General features: G+C 39.3%; 1 long non-coding RNA gene across 1 annotated transcript in view; it reads right to left on the bottom strand.

Annotated features, from left to right (window-relative positions):
• Window positions 1-20,554, bottom strand: part of RHOXF1-AS1 (RHOXF1 antisense RNA 1) — a 110,620-nt gene that overhangs the window by 4,847 nt on the left and 85,219 nt on the right. The window contains exon 3 of the long non-coding RNA NR_131238.1: window positions 2,890-3,011. This is a non-coding gene — a long non-coding RNA (RHOXF1 antisense RNA 1). The remainder of the gene's footprint in view (window positions 1-2,889; window positions 3,012-20,554) is intronic.

The following is a 20,554-nucleotide window of genomic DNA, read 5'->3' as shown; positions in this document are numbered from 1 at the left end:
GCCTACTATCCAGAATCTATAAGGAAACAATTCAAGAAATAAAAAACAAGTAACTCCATTAAAAAGCAGGCAAAAAACACATGAACAGACACTTTTCAAAAGGAGACATACAAGTGGCCAACAAACATTTGAAAAAATGTTCAATATCACTAATCATCAGAGAAATGCAAATCAAAACCACAATGAGATACCATCTCACACCCATCAGAATAGCTATTATTAATAAATCAAAAAACAACAGATGCTGGTGAGGCTGCAGAAGAAAGGACACTTACACACTGTTGGTGGAAATGTCAATTAGTTCAGCCACTTTGGAGAGCAATTTGGAGAATTCTCAAAGAACTTAAAACAGAATTATCATTTGACCCAGCAATCCCATTACTGGCATACATCCAAAAGAAAATAAACTGTTCTACCAAAAAGACACATTCACTCATATATTCATCACAGCAATATTCACTGTAGTGAAGACATGGAATCAACCTAGGTGCCTATCAATGGTGGACTGGATAAAGAAAATGTGGCACACATACACCGTGGCATACCGTGCAGACATAAAAAGAATGAAATCATGTCCTTTGCAGCAACAAGGATGCAGCTGGAGGCCATTATCCTAAGTTAATTAACATAGGAACAGAACACCAAATACTGCATGTACTCACTTATAGTGGTAGCTAAACATTGGGTACTCATGGACATAAAGATGGCAATAATAGGCACTAGGGACTGATGGGGGGAGGTAGGGAAGGGGGCAAGGGTTGAAAAACTAACTGTTGGGTACTATGTTCACTAGTATCCCATCCGGATGACAGGACCATTCAGATCTCAAACCTCAACATCATGCAATATACTCATGTAACAAACCTGCACATGTATCCCCTGAATCAAAAATAAAAGCTGAAATTATTTTTTTAGAAAAAGAAGAGGGGATGTTACCACTGATTTGACAGAAATAAAAAGGATTATAAGAAAATACTATGAACATTGTATTTCAACAAATTAGATGCCCTAATACATTGAAAAACAATTCCTACAAACACACAAACTACCAAAACTGACTCAAGAATAAATAGAAAATCTGCAAAGACTTATAACAAGTATGATATTTGACAATAGTGCCAAACCATTCAAAGTGAAACCACTTCCTCTGGGGCAATACCTGTAGTTAGTTGTCTCGCGCCGATGATTAACAACATGGACACACACGTGGAGTGGGTTAAGGAGCAGAAAGTTTAACAGACAAAAAGGAAGAGAGATAGAATAAGCTTCCTCATGCTGAGAAAGCGGGTCACCTGAGAGAGGGTTTCTGGGTTAGGTGCAGAACGTGATCAATTTTGTACAAAGGCTTGAGGAGGCGGTGATTGATTTACATAGAGCCCAGGGGATTGGTTTGACCAGGTGCTCCATTTACACAGTCCATGAAAAGACTGGCCCTCCAACCCTAATCTTTTATTATGCAATTATGGCTTCTATCTGACTGTCACCATGACACCTGCACATGTGACTTTACCTGGCTAGTGCCATGACACCCGCACACGTGGCCACAAAGAAAAGGGAGCGAGAATCGCCATATTGAATGTACCTGGCTTCCAGGTACAGCTGATGGCATTTACATATGAAAGCTAGCTTGCATAGCTATGCTTGCAGCTTGAAGTTTCAGGCTGCTTTCTGTTAGAAAAGAAATGGTTTGGGGGCTGCTTTTTATTAATGGAAAATTCCACCAAGAACTCTTTACCCTTTCTAATTGCCTAAAATAATTTTTAATAACTGCTGTATTAAAAGGATATGTGTACCGAAACTAAGCCAAAACACAACTTTAATAGGCTTAAGATCTCTGTGTGTTTGCTCCTAGACAAAACAAATGGGGTACAGAACAAACAAAAACATGTTGATAGGAGAGAGAATGGATCATGGTCTTTCATAGAGCATTCTGTGCTTCTGGACTCAGAAAAGCTGTCAGACACCTGTTTATGGTTTATTACAGCTACAGAAAACACATTAAAAACAGCAAAGGAAAAAGGTATCACTTGAAGAGAGCAGATATTCACATTTCAAATTAAATACTTCAGGAAATCCAGTTTAAATAATTGAAAGCAAAACTCAAATGCCAAAAGTGGGTAAATATTTAGTCATATTTTCTTGTAAGTTTCTTTAGATTAATTGTTGATATTATTGTTGCTGCTGTTGAATATCCATTGTCTTCCTATCCTTAACACTACAGGAACACAAATACGTCATTGTAGATATATTAGCGTAAGCCATTCCCTACTCTTCTAACCAATTCTGAACTCTTAACCGTGTGATTTCAAATAAAAAATTTTCCCACGATATGCTCTGTAGTAAAGATATAAATAGGTTTGTAACAATGACATTTGGGGAAATTTATCAGGGCTTTACATGTATTTACATAATAGAAACAGGCAGAGAATGCTTAAGGACACTAATCCCATTTGTGAAGACTCTACCCTCATGACCTAATAACCTACCAAAGGCCCCACTTTCTAATACAATCACATTAGGGGTTAGGATTTCAACGTATGAATTTGGCGGGGACACAAACATTGAGTCTATAGCACTGTCATATACTAGTGTTCTGTAGCAGATTAGCAAATTTATGAACACACAGTTTCACAATTTCTAGAGGAATATGCTTCCTCATTGTATAATTTTTCATGTTCATTAACAGAACCAGATGTATTTAGCTTCACTATATCATATAAAAATAAAACACCAGGCCGGGCACGGTGGCTCATGCCTGTAATCCCAACACTTTGGGAGGCCAAGGCAGGTAGATCATGAGGTCAGGAGACTGAGACCATCCTGGCTAACACAGTGAAACCCCATCTCTACTAAAAATACAAAAAATTAGCCAGGCATGGTGGCACGCACCTGTAGTCCCAGCTACTCGGGAGGCTGAGGCAGGAGAATCGCATAAAACCGGGAGGTGGAGGTTGCAGTGAGCCGAGATCGCGCCACTGCACTCCAGCCTGGGCGACAGAGGGAGACTCCATCTAAATAAAATAAAATAAAAGAAAATAAAACACCAAAAGCATATAAACTTAAAACTTAGGTTCAGTAATTAGTGTTTAAGTGGTTTATCTTACTTAGAAAAGATCTAGGTTCTTATTTTAGGCAAACATAACATTAAACAAAGCTAGCCATCATTTGAAGTTATTTCCCTATTAACTATTTTTACAGGATGTCCATGTTTGACTGGCATCACAAAAGCAAAAACCTAAAAAGTTAAATGCATGAGTTTGTTGTTTTACTGCTGTGCTTGACACACATGACGTAATGGAATCGGACAATTCAGTTTTACCTGCATCTTTACTTGTACATTTGTTGTTAGTTTGGATTATATTTATTATTATTATTATTATCATTATTATTATTATTATTATTATTATTATTATTATTATTTCAGACACAGTCCCACTCTGTCCCCCAGGCTGGAGTGCAGTGGCACCTTCTCAGCTCACTGCAACCTCCGCCTCCTGGATTCAAGCAATTCTCATGCCTCAACCTCCTGAGTAGTTGGGATTATAGGCGTATGCCACCATGCCTGGCTATTTTTTATTTTATTTTATTTTTAGTAGAGATGGGTTTTCACCATGTTGGCCAGATGGTATCAAACTCCTGACCTCACGTAATCCACCCACCTTGGCCTCTTAAAGTGGTGGAATTACAGGTGTGAAACACCGCACCCAGCCATTAGCTTGAATTTATAATGTTTATAACCTTAAACATCTGCCAGACATAATATTAGTTTATTAAATGAGTAAACCCAAATAGAATAAAAATATATGCCCATATTATACTTGAAACTGACAACTCAGAAGACAGCTGTTTTTATTAAACCAAAAATATTAAACTAACTTTATTTACCAAAGATTTAACCAAGTCATGTGAACTTGAAAAGCATTTGGGTTTCTTTCTATATCACTGGGAGTTTTAGGAATATTCCATTGAGATAAGTGTTCATTTATCTTTAGGCCAATTTGAATAGAGCTCCTTTAAGAGATTTTATAAATTCATTAGTTAATACCATCCAGAGGTGGAAAAAAATCACATATACATAACATACATTCATACATAAACATAGACACAGGCATAAACGGAGATCTTGGTTTCATTCTAAACTTTTAGCCATGAATCATTAATACAAAACTCATTGATTCATATCTTCTTTATATTTTTATCCGAATTACATTTCTGACAAAAATGGGACAAGGTTACCTACTGAATAAAGGCTAAAGCCTTTTTTAAATCAATATTTGTAGAGAAGACTTTTAAGATTTTCTTTTACCCTGATATGTAATCTTATGAAGTCCGTGGATACTATTTTAGGCAAGAGACTAAGGAGACATCTAGCGGCTGTTTGATTATCTCCAAAACACATCTGAGTGGATAAAATATTCAGTCTATTTCTAATTATCCTTTTTCCTTTTGAGCTTCAGGTAGTTGCCTTTGGGGTCACTAAGTCCCTTGAGAGCCCCTAATGGGGTCAAGCAACCTAAAGGTAAAGAGACTGGGAAGTTGAGGGGTCAAAATGGAAAGGGAAGTCTGGCAGGAGTGGACAGAGGAATGGAAGAGGTAGGAGTTTGCCAGGGACATATTAAAGCATTCAAGGCAGCTGAAGAGAAGATTGAAGGTAGCAATGAAACCAAGTGCCCCATTTTCTTAAAAGGAATTATTTTTACCTTTTTTTCTTTTTCCCTCGCCTCTTACTTAGCTCTTTAGGAATACAATTAAAATCTTTACCTTCTTTTGAACAGGCACTCCCTGCACTGCAAGCTTATCTAACTATGTTTTTGCTTAGAAGTTCCAGGGACCAAATCTCAAAACAAACAAAGCACCCTCTGGAATTCTCCCCCACCGGGAGACTGCCTCAAAACAGCAATTAATTAACAACCCACTTCTGTCCACGAAGGCACTGACCAGACCATCAGACCACAGCATCACTTAAGGTAAGCATTGGAGCGAGTCACATAGATCCCACACCTAGTCACCCCTCTTGCATGCCATTCACTCCAAGTTCCCCTTTTTAAACCCTTGTTTTCTATCCCAAAGGTTAAAGTGGATCCCTTAAGGCAGGAGCCTCTTCTGCTTCTCCACTGCTAAGCTCTGGAATAAGTCAGTTTCTTTTCTTTTTCTTTCTCTTTCTTTCTTTCTTTCTCCCTTTCCTTTCTTTTTTTCTCTCTTTCCTTTCCTTTTTTCATTCTTTCTCTTTTCTTTTTTTTAAGATGGAGTCTCACTCTGTCACCCAGGCTGGAGGGCAGTGGTGCAATCTCAGCTCACAGCAACCTCCGCCTCCCAGGCTCAAGCAATTCTCCGGCCTCAGCCTCCCGAGTACCTGGGACTACAGGCGTGCACCACCACGCCTGGATAATTTTTTGTATTTTTAGCAGAGACAGGGTTTTGTCATGTTGGCCAGGCTGGTCTCGAACTCCTGGCCTCAAGTGACCTGCCTGCTTCAACCTCCTGAAGTGCTGGGAATACAGGCGTGAGCCACCATGCCAGGCCTAGAATAAATCACTTTCTTTTTACCACCCTCGTCCTTGCTATTTGATTTTGCAAGCGCTGAGCGGCCAAATCTGTGTTTGGTTAAACATTTGGTGGCCCATACAGGGAGCACTGTGCATTTCTGGCTGTCCGAGCCTACTAGCCCAGTTTACACTACTGGGCAGGGCACAGGGCCACCTGTGAACACCAACTGCTTGTTGGTAAGCAAGTTCTTACAACTGCTTGTTGTAAGAACATTAGGGTATTTCCCAGAAGCTGCCGAAATGCTTTCTTTTCAGGTAACCTCCCTTTCTCTTTCCTGCATGATGTCTGCTGCCTTCAATGCCTTGCTGGTATAAAGAATGTGACCTCTGAAGAAATTTGGCAACCTTTGAAACTGGGTGAGTGACTTGGAGTGGACTCGACTTTCCTCTGTGTCTTCTACAGTGTTGCTGGGGATCTGCTCTGTTTAGACTTGGCTGCCGGTGGCACCATTTTGGCGTTTAACACATTTGTATATGTGGCACCATTGGGGCTTTGGCACCATTTGGACTTAGCTGCCTGTGGAGCTGTTTGGAACTGAGGTAAGGCATTCAGGATTTTACCTAGCCCCTTAACCAGGGTTTTGTTCAGAAGTGCACCATTTGTTTGTAAGTGTGAGTGTTTGACCTTTGTGTGTGGATCCTGATTTCATCCTTTCCTTTTCACTTACGACTTCATCTTCCTGATTTATCTTGCAAAGCCACCTACATCGTTACTTCTCTCAGGCAAATGTATCTTTAGCTCCCTCCAGCTGGAAACAGTTCACTTCAACCAGTGACTTGCGGAGTGGGGAGGGATTCATCCTACATTGTGCAGGTCTAGGGTACTTGGGCTCTCCCTGACAGGAGGTAAATGAGAGTGGTGGGGGTACCAAACCCACACCATGCAGGGGCTGGAAGGGTCACAAACCTCCTTCTCTTTCCTTCTCTTTCTCTTTCTCTCCTTTAAAACCCAGCTCCTTCACAGAAGCCTGCCAGGAACTTCATATTTTAATTCTCTTTGGAATTACAGCTGGTTACATATTATGACGTATTTTTGTGCACATTTTTAAATGATGAGAAAATTACAGCAAGAAAAATTCAGAGCTCGAGTGGTAACCTGCAACTAGAAAGTTAAGCAGAGTGTTTTAAAGCTCTCCATCTTCCTCTAATTTCTATTCTGCCTGCTTGAAATCTATTACTAACCTTCGGGTGCTGAGATGAGACTCGTTATTTGTGGTCCAACTAGAATATAAACATTGGAAACTCATCTGAAACTGAAAAAAAAAAGATAGAAGAGGTTATATATATATATATATATATATATATATATTTTTCAAACTGCCACAGAGACTGCTTTACCCAAATTTTGGTTCACAGCTTTCATTGGATTATATATTGGGGGCAATCAAAATTTAGCCATATAAACAGCTTCCAATGTAATCAAAGAATAATGTGGATCCAGCTATCTTTCATAAAGTTGTGAGTTTGTATTGTTATCTGATGGCTAGAATTCTGAGGTAAAAGCTATTGGGACCTTTGTTTGTGTGCGTATACATGTTTAGATCTGTTCATGTGTATGTACATGTATTATATATTGTATCTAGCATGCTACCAAAAGGATTATAAGTAAATGAGTACAATCTGCCAAGATGGGCAGATTACTTGAGGCCAGGAGTTCAAGACCAGCCTAGCCAACATGACAAACACCCACCTCTACAAAAAATGCTTTTTAAGTTCACATGAATTTAGTAATCTTTGATAAATAAAACTGATCTTAAGATTATTGGTGAAATAAAAATAGAAATACCTTCAGAATTGTCAGCACACATTTTTGTCTGAGTTTATTGACCAAATGGTTTATATTTGTCACTGTCTATAAATAAAAGTATTAGGCTTTAACATAAATGTCATAAGCCTATAAACCCACCAAAAAAAAATCTTTGTGTGATTTTTTTAATAAATAAGACTAATATAATATTGTTAGTTTAATAAAAAATTAAATCTTCTAAATTATCAACAAAATGCCCATATGTTTAACTTTAAGGTTCTTACTTAAATAAACACCTAATGTGTACAGACTTTAAAAATGGTTAACAGGGAACTAACTCTAAATAATGATTACCTTTGTGTAATATCTCAGTTTTCATAAGTAATCTAGATAAACTGTCAAAAGTTTAAAATTTAAACATGTAAATAAAATAAATGCTTGCAGGCCAGGTGCAGTGGCTCACACCTGTAATCCCAGCACTTTGGGAGGCCAAGGTAGGCTGATCACTTGAGGCCAGGTGTTTGAGACCAGCCTGACCAACATGGTGAAACCCCATCTCTACTAAAAATACAAAAAAAATTAGCCAGGCATGGTGGTGCATGCCTGTAGTCCTAGCTACTTGGGAGGCTGAGGCAGGAGAATCACTGGAACCTGGAAGATGGAGGTTGCAGTGAGCTGAGATCACTCCACTGCACTCCAGCCTGGGTGACAGAGTAAGACTCCATCTCAAATAAATAAAAAATAAATGCTTGTAAATAGAGTTTTCATATATTTTAAAATCCTGAAATTTTTAAATTAAGTAATAATTGCTTGTTGGATGTCTGGGCCATTTCTAATTAAGAAAAAATTAAGTAAAGAAAAACGTGTTTCTAAAATCATGGAGGCCGGGCACAATGGCTTACACCTGTAATCCTAGCACTCTGGGAGGTCAAGATGGGCAGATTACTTGAGGCCAGGAGTTCAAGACCAGCCTAGCCAACATGACAAACACCCACCTCTACAGAAAATAAAAAATTAGCCGGGCATGGTAGTACATGACTGTAATCCCAACTACCTGGGAGGCTGAGGCACGAGAATTGCTTGAGCCTGGGAAATGGAGGTTGCAGTGAACCAAGATCACACCACTGCCCTCCAGCCTGGGCAATAGAGTGAATCCATGTCTCAAAAAATTAATTAATTAGTTAGTTAATTAATTAAAATAAAATTATGGAATGGTTTCCTCTATAAAATACTATTATCTGTTAAATTGTTCATAATTTCTTGCTTCCTAGGTTTTCACTAAAATTTACGGTCGCTAAGAATAAGAATTCTAGTTAATAAGTATTATATAAGTTATATTCCTAGTTTAAAAATAATTTTATATAATGTAGAGGGTTTTTTTAGTTATTTTTTTAAAAAAGAAAAAGGCAATAAATAGGAGACAGGTATGAAAAAGTTATGGATATAAAAATATATCTTTAATTTAAAAATGGTATAAAGAAAATAAAATAATTTTTATATGAAATAAGATCTTCATCCTAAAATAAAGTGACTGGTTATTTAGAAAAGAGAAAAATTTAGGACAAGTCAAATAGTCCAAGCATGTTATAGATAATCTATGTAAGTCATGATAAAGTTTGTGAAGAGGAATTTATGAAAGAAATTTTATATATAATTAAGTTGGGCTATAATTAAAAAGGAATTATTTATAATAGTCTTTCTAAAGATTGGTCACCTATGGTAAAACAAAGTTTTCTTAAGGTATTGATTTACTCTTAATAAAATTACAAAAGGTAGAAAAGGGAAAAGGACTCAGAATTTAAAAAAATAAAATTGCAAAAGATTATTAATTTTAATTCTATAGCCTATTTCTTTTAAAAACTTCTTGGAATCATATCTCAGAAGTTCAACTTTTGATGTATCTCACTACATTCAGCTTTTTTTCCCCTTGAGAGGGCCCAAGGTAACAACTCTCTCCTTTAGCTTTTTTATCAACTCCTATAACATTTTTCTTCCAGTTCTAACTGCTGTTGTGGCCTAATGCTAAAATGTTTGCTCTTAAAGGTCTAGAAAAGTAATGTTTTCCTCTAGGATAACTTGACTCTGCACTCTTGTCTTTCCTTAATATGTCCAAATTTTCAATGTAATCTGAAAATTTCTCATGCATTTAGTCAGAGTCATGTATTCCCTGGCTATACTCATTACCTTAAACACAGTCTTCCCGTGTACGATTAAAGTTAAGTACTTTTTTCATCTAGTTTGACTTTCAGATTATCTAAATGGGCTTTCTAATTTAAAAATACAGTCACACTAAAGAAGGGGTGGGGTTTTTTTGCCTTTTTGATAACTGGCTTAAGAAACAAGATTTTACATTTTATCAAGATAGTTCCTATGTTGTCTTAATAAAGTTTATTAAGTTTTTGATTAATTAAAAAACTGAGATTTAAAAGGATTTAAGTTTTTATATACATGTAACCTTCCACCTTGCCTTTAAAATCTCTTAGTTATCATCTTGGATACATTAGCAACTTTTGTTTTACAAGGACCTATGGTTCTGTTTTGATCAATTTTAAGCCTTTTAGCCTCTTTGACAGATGTCCTCAAAATCAAATCCTAAATTAAGTCTCAAACTTACTGCTGAGGTTTATCAAAGTTATAAAAATTTGATATATATATCAAATTGATATATATATCAAAGTTATATATATAACTATAAGGTTATAAAATCTTTTTACAGCTTCCAATCAGGTCATAAACTCCAGTATTACCACCTCCAACCCCTTAGAAGTCCTCATCAGGTGCTATTGATAGCGACAGGAGGCAGAGAAATTCTAGGCAGATGGGAGGGGTCCATGGTAAAACCCCACCTTTGAGCCAAAAAGCCTGAAACACACAGCCCAAAGTGAGAACTTCTATTCCTGTGTGCCCACTCTCTCCCAATTGGTTCTTCCTGAATAATGTATTTTTCCCAATCGAATATTGCCTTTTCCAAAACTACCTAGGCCCATTCTGCCTCCCATCCTGTGTCTATAAAGACCCCAGATTCAGCCGATAGAGAGGAGAAGCGGCTGGATGTCAGGGAGAGATGACTTGACTTCAGAGACAGTGGGTGGACATCGGAAAGAGGCAACTTGACTTTGGAAGAGAGAGGCAGAGAGGCAGCTTGATTTCAGGGTAGAACGACCTGCCCTTACTGTCGCCTTTCCAGCTCCCCTCTCCACTGAAAGCCACTTTCATCAGTCAATAAAATTCTCTACATTCACCATCTTTCAATTCATCTGCATGACCTCATTCCTCTTTGGCACTGGACAAGAATTTGGGACTCACCAAGTGCAGGTAGCCAAAAAGGTTGTCACACTGGCCCTTTACCCTCACTGGCAGAGGGAAGCTGCCCCATGTGATGAGGCAAAAGGCCCACTGAACTAATAACACACTGCTGTCTGAGGATGGTGGAGCTAAGACAGCATCATAACATGCCTTCTGGGGCCTTGGGGTTGGAGGCACCCCCACCTGGACAATGCCACAGGGCCTGCACAAAGTTTGCTCCTGCTGGCACCAAAGCAGCCAGCCAGTTCCTGCACTTGCTTATTCCGGCTCCTGCACTCATTCACTCACACATTCCCTCCTACGAGGGGTTGAGTGGGGTGGGCTGAGTAAATGGGGCACCCCTGTTGCAAATCCAATGAAGGGGTCAAGAAAATATCTTGCATCTCTATTAACTAATCTTTGTGTTGTTAAGTTATAGGGCTTTGACTCCTGGATACACATATCTCATCTAAAGAAGACACTGACTCCTGCCAGTATCTGACACCAGACTCAAGTTAACCAAAGTCTTCTCTTTAGACTCAGGCAAAGGCAACAATCAAAATAAACTGCTTTCATGAGACACAGGGAAAGGTCTGTCCTCAGAAACATTAAGATTCATTTAATAATTTTGCCTCTATCTGGAATAATATAATTTATTCTATGCCTTAATACTAAATGATTTAAATGTTTAGCTACCTATAAACTTACCCTTCTCAAAACTAGACAGGGCTTTTAACTTTTTTGTTTGTAACACTGCTAATTCTTTATCTTTGTTTTGCCTCCAGAGCGTAAAACTATTCAGTCGTTCCAAACCCAGGGACTATTGTGCAAGCGGTGGGCATATGAGATTATAAGGGCTAGTTTTGAGGTATAAAACCAATTCAGACCCTCCAAATTGAGGACGGGCACACAGATGCCTAAGCCACTAAACAAAATGCTTGTGTTTTATATACCTAATTGCTACAAGCCAAAATTAGAATAGCTCAATGCATAAAATGTATGCTCTTATGTTACTTGAAAGTGATTTTAAAGGTTAATGGGTGCCTGCTTACCTCCATTCCCATCGGGCCTAGAATGTTTAATTGCCTATAAATCTTTTGGCTCTAATCCCTTGGCCATAGGGGTCGTCCCTTGGCCATAGGGGTCCTACCAAGGGACATAATGGACACACACCACCCTGGCAACAACACGGGACAAAATTAAAGTTTAGCCATCAATGCTGCCTCTGGTATGTCTTAACCAAAAGCAGTGGGGAATATAAACTAAAAAAAATAAAATCCTAAACCCCAACCAACTAAATGGACTCCCTTCTTGCCCGAAGGGAATCCCAAAGAAACCTAAAAGAAAAAGTTTCAGGCCATGACAGACAGCAGGGCATCAGGCATGCCTCACTACACCATCCCCACCCTTTCTGGAATTTAGGCAAAACTGACAAGCATTAACATTAAAATGGAGATCATAAGACTGATAAGACAGATTCTTTGTAACAATAAGATACCAAACTATAAACAAGACCACTGACCATAGGCTAATTCTGGCTAGTTTACAAAAAGTACACATTTGCATGCCTTTATGTCCTAAAAAGACCTTTTGATGTCTAGGGCCTAATTATAATACATTATATGTTAAGTCCCCACACAAAAATAAACATGAGTCATATGTTACATACATATTTGTTCCATACACATGTGTCAAGACTGCCTTCATAAACATTTATGACCTCTCCTGTATGTCTTAACCAAAAGATGTGGGAAATATAAACTAAAAAAAAACTGTTAAATTTGTGTATTGAGTCCACCTGTCATCATATCCCCACAAGAACTCTGGACACAATTGATAGTGGGGACTGTGCATGATAATTAAGTAATTAAGACTGAATGCTAAATATTATCTCAGATAATTCAGAAAATGTCTTGTTAGCCCTGCAAGACATGAACCAACAAATCAAAACTATGTCTGACCCCACATTGTCGCTAGCTCAGTGGTTAGCAACCTGGTTCAGGTCAGGACCGTCCTGGTGGCAAAAGCTGCTTATAACTTTGGCCCTGGTTGCAGGGATAGGCATATTTCTTTGCTGTGGATTTTACTGCTGTTGCAACTTCTGTATGGAAATGCAAGACAGGCTTTCCCAAGAGACTTTCCTGGCCTCGCACCATAATGCTCCAGCAAACATTGTCTGTGAACCCCAGTACTTGTGAATATTTCCAACTCCAATGGATCAGTTCCATTCTGGTACCCTATAACTCCTCCCACTTTCAGCAGTAAGTAGCCAGAATAAAAACAATGCCCAAATCCCATGAAAATGGAATGGAATTTGACAGTGGGGAGTCGTAACCAAGTACCTCATTTTCTTAAAAAGAATTATTTTTACCTTTTTTTCTTTTTCCCTCACCTCTTACTTTACTCTTTAGGAATACAATTATAAACTTTACCTTCTTTCCAACAGACACTCCCTGTGAAGCAGGAGAATAGGGTCTGGAGGCAGGGAACCTAAAGCTGTTTCACACTAACTTCCTAGAACTAAATTGAAAGGAAAGCCCTAACTTTCCACACCTAAGTAACAAAAGGACCAGAGGCTACTCCCTTTGCAAACCCCCACCTTTCCTTTGCTGCAGATGGGAAATTGAAAGTACCTCTGATTGGCTGATTTTGGCAACCAATCAGACCTTTATATAGGAGTGTAACTTTATAACTTTAGTTCAGCTCAATCTGATTGATTGCCAGCCAGGTCACCGTTTGCATAGAAGTACAACTTTTTGACTTCACTTTAGCCTCTGATTGGTTGCTTTCTGCAACCACCAGATGTTTGCATAGGAATGTGACCTTTGTAAGTTCACTTCAGCCTCTGATTGGTTGCTTTCTGCAACCACCAGATGTTTGCATAGGAATGTGACCTTTGTAAGTTCACTTCAGCCTCTGATTGGTTGCTTTCCGCAACCATTCAGACTGATTGCAGGCCACCACTTCATTTACGTGAGGTAAGCACCAAGTGGCCAATGGGAAACCTCTAGGGGGTATTTGGACCCAAGAAGATTCTGTATCTGGGCCCTTGAGCCGCTGCTCAGGCCTGCTGCCACCCTGTGGAGTGTACTTTCGATTTCAGTAAATCTCTGCTTTTGTTGCTTCACTCTTTACTTGCTTTTTTTGTGCATTTTGTCCAATTCTTTGTTCAAAACGCCAAGAACCTGGACACCCTCCACCAGTAACACCTAGACTGAAAGCTTATCTAAATATATGTTTGCTTAGAAGTATCAGGGACCAAATCTCAAAACAAAACAGGCACTCTCTGGAATTCCCCACCAGGAGATTGTCTCAAGACAACAATTAATTCACAATCCAATTCTATCCATGATGGTGCAGACCAGACCATCAGATGGCATCACTCAATATAAGTCATCCAAGCGAGTCACGTAGACCCCGCACCTCCTTGCCCTTCACACCAACTTTCCCTTTTTAAGCCCTTGCTTTCTTCCCTGAAAGTTAAATCAGTTCCCTTAAGGCAGGAGCCTGTTCTGTTTCCCCACTGCTAAGCTCTGGAATAAAAGTCACTTTCTTTTTACCACCCTCGTCCTTGTTATTCAATTTTGCAAGCAATGAGCAGCTTAGCCTGCGTTTGGTTACAGTAAGAGGAGGAAGGAGGAGAGAAACCAGTGGGAAGAGAGAAGTCTTAGAGACACCAGTTTGGGGAGATGATAAGTTTCCCAAAAAGACCAGTGAAGTTCCAAATTATCCTCAGCAAAACCATGTCAACAAGAAGGAGTTGGACAGTGTAGGTGGAGCATATAGTCAGTAGGAATTCAAGAATGGTGTTTCAGTTGACTCAGAAGTTCCTGTGGGAAAAACAGGATCAAATAGAACAGAGAGGCCTCACAAAGTAACAAGGAAAAAATTTCCAGCCTGGGCAACATAGTGAGACTCTGTCTCTACAAAAAAAAAAAAAAAAAAAAAGATTAAAATTAGCCGGGCACAGTGGCGTGTGCCTGTACTCCCAGCTACTCAGGGGTGCTGAGGTGGGAGGATTGCTTGAGCCTGGGAGGTTGAGGCTGCAGTGAGCCATGATCACACCACTGCGCTCCAGCCTGGGCAACAAAGGAAGACCCTGTCTCAAAAAAAAAATTTTCCAGCCCAAAGAATCAATGAATAATTCCCACTCAAAATAGAAAGCCAGAAAGAAAAGCTTTCAGCCCAGGGAGCCAGAGAATAATCCCCACTCAAGACAGAGATCCAGGAAGGAAACCATCCAGCCTAGGAGATACCTTTCAAAACAAGCCTGGAACTCTAACCTGCTTCAGAGAGTATACTCAGAATCTTAAGAATCAAATCAATCCTTACCAGCTTTAACAGAAGTTTGCCTGGAACAATGGTTCAAAAGTCTGACTTAGCAGTGGATCCCAAATCAATCAGTCAGGAGTGAAGGAAAGGGCTTAAAAGGTGCACATTTGAGGTCCGCAGTGATAGGTCCAGGAGTCCAATGATGAATCTGATCCTATAAAAGTCACAGCATCATTACTGTTCAATTTTTTTAAATGACACTTGTTAAAGATGGTGAGAAAGACTGTGTTCAAGGGGGAAATATCAAGATAAGTATAGGAATCACTGCAATGGCATCTTGCAATGGGGGAGATAGATTGAGATCAGCTAAAATACAATGTGGGCAAGTGGGAATTTAGAGCCAAGGAACAAGGTGGGAGTCAATGGATGGAAATTAACTAAGAGGAAACATCAGGCATAATGGAAGATTTGGGCCAAACCGACCTAACATTATTTTTGCTGAAGGCACCAGGGCGATCAAACATCACCTGGGAGATGGTGGAGGATGAGGAACCAGATTAGATATTGAGAGTGCTTGGATATGGGGGATGACTAAATAGACTTAGCAGGACTTAGCAATTTCCTTGCTGAAATCGGACAATGCAGAGACAAACTCAGAAATCCAAAACTCCAGGCCTAGTTGAAAAAGAGCTCAAGGGAACCTGAGTAAAATTCGGTCAATAAGAGAATCTTTGTCAGCACTAGAATTCTGGGATGAATAAAACAGAGGTCCTTCCTTCCAGGAGCTCAGTGTAGTGGGGAATAAAAACATGCTCTCTAATCCCAGCTACTTGGGAGGCTGAGGTGAGAAGATCGCTTGAGGCCAGGAGTTCCAGACCAGCTTGGGCAAGGTAGCGAGACTTCATCACTAAAAAATACAATTTTTATTACATAATATATATATTATATACAATATATATTAATATATTAACATATATAATATATAACATATATATTATATATAATTTTCTTTAATGATAACACAAGACAAGGAAATTCCAGTGAGTATGAGGTGTTTGGCCATGTGTGCTCCAGCAGAAGGTGAAAGGGAGAAGAAGGAGACCAGGGCAACTTATGAAGGGACGTGATGAAGAGTAAGAATGTAAGGGAGTAGGTAGGATGCATAAGGGATCCATCAGCTAGATGGATTGAAAGGGTGAAAACACAAGGCAGGCAGAGAGGAAATGTGAATAGACAGAAGTAAGATGTCAGGGACTCTGCAGGCAGGTGAGCTCACTCACTTCTGCCACAGGCTCTCCTCCCTCTCCTTATTGAGGAGGCTAGGCCACAGCTTGTCATACCCATAGGGGTGTGGGTAGCTGCCATAATTGGCGGACCAGAAGACAGAAGCTAAGGGGATGCCATGTGGGGCAGAGGGCCACCCTAGAAAGCACGACCACTAGTGTGAGCGGTAGGACTGGTTTCAAGAGCCTTGGCAGAGGCCACCCAGCTGATGGCTGAGGCCATTCCAGTCCCTAGGCCATGGGCAAGAGTGAAAGTGAAAGCAGCAGTCCTGCAGGGAGTGGGCAGATTTGCTGGGCTTGGGGCTTTTCCAACAACTTTGACATTTCCTCCAGAGCCCAAGGACTCCCAGATACCTCACTGCTGCTGTGGGATAAGGGGATAAAGAAAAAAGCCAGTAGGGCAACTGGGTCCCTGTCTCCTTCCAGTTCCACATGACATTCAAGTCTAAGCTAAACAGGAGACCTTGTCCTTTCTCTGCCTCATTCCGAAACGACTGAAGGAAGTGTTACCAAAACACCAAGGCTACCGTCTAAGTCCTGCTGCTCACTGCACAGAAAGCCAATCACAGAGACAGTGAGTATTGCCAAGGAAAAAGGCTATAATCGGATGCTGCAGCTGAGATGGAAGCTCAGTCTCAAATCCATCCCCCGAACCCACTAAAACTACGGGTTTATATAGCAGGGAAGAAATTTAACAATGTATAAGAAAACAGGAACTAGGGAGGGGCAAGGAAGCAATCAAGATGAAAGAGGGGTCTAGCATCTCACTGTCTGGATGTAGTGATCTGGTGAGTTTCAGTTCTTTGATCCCTTTTTTTTGAGAGGCCTGAAGGTTGCTTCCTGAGGAAGGAACTCAGATAAAACAAATGTAAGGTTCAAACTTTAACACCAGAAGGGTCCATTTCTATTTTTATCAAAATGAACAGTCCTTGGCAGGGTTCCCCAACCCCTGGGCCACAGAGCAGTACTGGTCTGTTGCCTGTTAGTAAATGGGCTGCACAGCAGGAGGTGAGTGGTAGGTGAACGAGCACTACCGCCTGAGCTCTGCCTCCTGTTGGATCAGCGGTGGCGTTTTATTGTCATAGGAGCGCGAACCCTACTGTAAACTGCACATGCAAGGGATCTAGGTTGCGTGCTCCTTATGAGAATCTAACTAATGCCTGACGATCTGAGGTGGAACAGTTTCATCCCAAAACCATTGCCCCGCCCACCAAGTCCATGGAAAAATTGTCTTCCACGAAACCAGTCCCTGGTGCTGATAAGGCTGGGGACCACTGGTCTATAGAACTGTTGGGTCGGTTTCAGAAGGACCACAGGTCACAAGACGTATTTCACTGAGCAGCTGTTTCAACAATACAGTCAGTTCAGTTTGTGTTTCGTGTGTGTTTACATCAGGTATTATATAGAGCACACTGTCACATATATCTGTATATAGATAATATATATATGAGTGTATATAACATATGCATGTGTATAATTATAGGGATGGCTCAAATCAAAGTACCTAATGTTTTCCTTAATCTCCTAAATTAAAAGAAAAATATAAATGGGATGAATGGATGAGAAAAAAAGGACAAAGTATTTAAAGCATTTCCTATGAAAATGACATGTTTATATGAGAGTTGCAATAAAAATACGGAGTGCTGAGTCAAACTACTGATAAACAACAAATATTTTTAGATAACTGTGTCTCATGCAATATTTGGGACATACTTTATACAAAAATATTTGTTGCTTATTTGAAATTCAAATACAAGTGAGTGTCCTGCAGTTTACCTGACAATGCAGAAGGGGAACATCACACACTGGGGCCTGTTGTGGGGTGGGGGGAGGGGGGAGGGATAGCATTAGGAGGTATACCTAAGTTAAATGACGAGTTAATGGGTGCAGCACACCAACATGGCACACGTATACATATGTAACAAACCTGCACATTGTGCACATGTACCCTAAAACTTAAAGTATAATAAAAAAAAGATTATTTCCTATACTTCAAAATCAACAAGATTTGATTGCATTTAAATTTTTCTGTCCATTTGTTCTTCTATGTAATACTTTAAAAATAATTGGCATAAAAATTCAATCAATTCATAAAAGTCCAAAGCAAAAAAAAACAAATCTACTGACATCTCTTGAGGAAGAAATGATCAGGATTGACATTAATGAACCCTCTCACAGAGACCACTACACACACACACAAAAAGAAGGATGGGTGAATGGATGCAGAGAGAATTTAATAAGACTGAAATGATGCCATACATGCTTTTAAAAAATAAAAAGTATTAAATTTTAAATTTTACTTCAATATAAGAGAAGAAAAAGAAAAAAAGGGAGATTGAAAGAACTGCTGAACTTCAGGAAGTTCTACTTGATCACAAATTGATACTAGTTTTATAAAATTCCCTTTTTCTTCTCAAGGGTGCCCTGCCCTTCCAGCCTGGTGCCTTGCCCCTTGAGGCATAATATTTCTGAAAACTGTCCAAAGGACCTGCATATTGTTAAGAACAGCTGCAAAATGTACCAGAGAGAAAGATCAGGTGAGCTGGTGCCTAATTCATTACTGTGAGGTCTCCTCTCTTGGACACTTGTGAAGTCTTGGTCATCAGTGCTCTGAACCTTAAGATCAGAACCAAGTAAAGAGAATGAAAGATAAAGTTAGAGAAACTTCAGGTAGGGATGGAAGGCAGAGAGCAAAGCATATATGGGCACGGGACTTACAATAAGGAACAGCAGGACAGCACAATGGCATTCTTGGATTGTTGGCTTTAGAAACGCTGTCAATTATATTCTACTGCTCCAGAGAATGAAAATTGCTTAAAATTGGCTTCTCAGGCAGAGTTTACAAACTAGCAGCTCCAGCCTGAGTCTGTTCTGCAGACCTGATTTAGATGGCCAGCATACTTTTCAATAAAACATATTTCAGTTAGTTACCAACATTTAAAGAACTGAAGGTTTCATATCAACATTATAATTTGTGGCCAATCTTGAAAAACTGAAAAATCTGGCAGTCCTGGCCCAACATTGCCAGCCAGCAACACTAAGCTGGAGCTGAATACTGGCTGCCCCTTTGGAAGAGACATATTCTTTCCCAGTTTGCCACAGTCCCTACCCTGCTTGCTTCTCTCTTTTATGTTACCTGTCTGGCCTTGTCAACATTTGAATTTACAACTCTGATTATTACAATTTTTCTATTATGCAAACTGTCAGACATATACAAAAGCAGAGAGAATGGTAAAGATGAACCCTATTTGTACCCATTATCCAGTTTCAACAATTATCATAGACAACCTTGTTTCATGAATACCCTAACCAATTCTCAAACACACTTGGATCTCCCCCTGGATTTTTGTGATGCACATCTAGACGTCACATCATTTCATCAGTAAATATTTCAGTGTGTATCTCCAAAAGAACCAAATGTGTGACTCCTAACCAGGCTTATTCTGTTATGTCACATATTCCATGGGTTATACTGTGGTGAGAGGATATATTACAGAGTAATAGTAACAAATATTTCTGAGGTCTTACTCTGTGACTAGGTATTGTGCTAGGTACTTACATATATTGTCATTTATTCCTCTTCTCAATTCTATGGCATAGACAATGCTTTTATTCCCATCTTATCGATAATCTTCACATAGATGTCCTCCCTAATATATATACACATATGTATTTGTGTGTATATATATACACACATACATACAAACACATATACTGCATATTATTTATTTATATTTATATACAATATAACATATTTAGATACTTCATACTGATATTATTCACATACATATTTAATTGTATTAATATATAGGAACTAGAAAAGTAGTTTGGTTCTACTTTCTTTGGCCTTTTTTGAAATCGTGTATGCTCTGATAATGGGAAATTTCCCTAAGCTGAGGTTTTCTTATCCCATTTTCTATTCGCAAAAACTCACAGTTTGAACTTATTTCGCAAACCTGGAAAAGGCAACAAAAACACACCAACTTCAGAATATCTAGGGCAATGGTATCTACCTCTTGAAGCAGATTGTAGAATGGCTGCCCTGCCAAATAAGTTTTTTCAGGTATAGTGACCTGCACACTGGTTTCAGTCATGCTCATGCATCTTACAAGTCCCTTTCTGGTGAGAGAAAACCACAAAGATTCAGTATTTAGAGTTGTGGATGAAACAAAATTTATGTTGTTCATTTCAAGCTTGCTTTTAAATACTTACCTCCCAACACCTCTCCCCGAGTACACTATTTTGTAATATCCAGATTGAGGCTTTCTTTAGGAATGATTTTCCCCCATAGTGAATGTAAGGGGGCACAAAAAAACTCAGGATTCCAGAAAAATAACACTTTTTGCACTACTCTGAAAAATCAAAAATATTATGAGCAAATTATCAAATATTTACATAAAACCAGAATTTGCCCATCCACT

The sequence above is a fragment of the Homo sapiens genome, chromosome X (genome assembly GCF_000001405.40).
Source record: "Homo sapiens chromosome X, GRCh38.p14 Primary Assembly".
In the NCBI taxonomy this organism is placed as follows: domain Eukaryota; kingdom Metazoa; phylum Chordata; class Mammalia; order Primates; family Hominidae; genus Homo; species Homo sapiens.
Note: the sequence above shows the minus strand (reverse complement) of the source record. Positions and strands in the feature narration are given on the sequence as shown.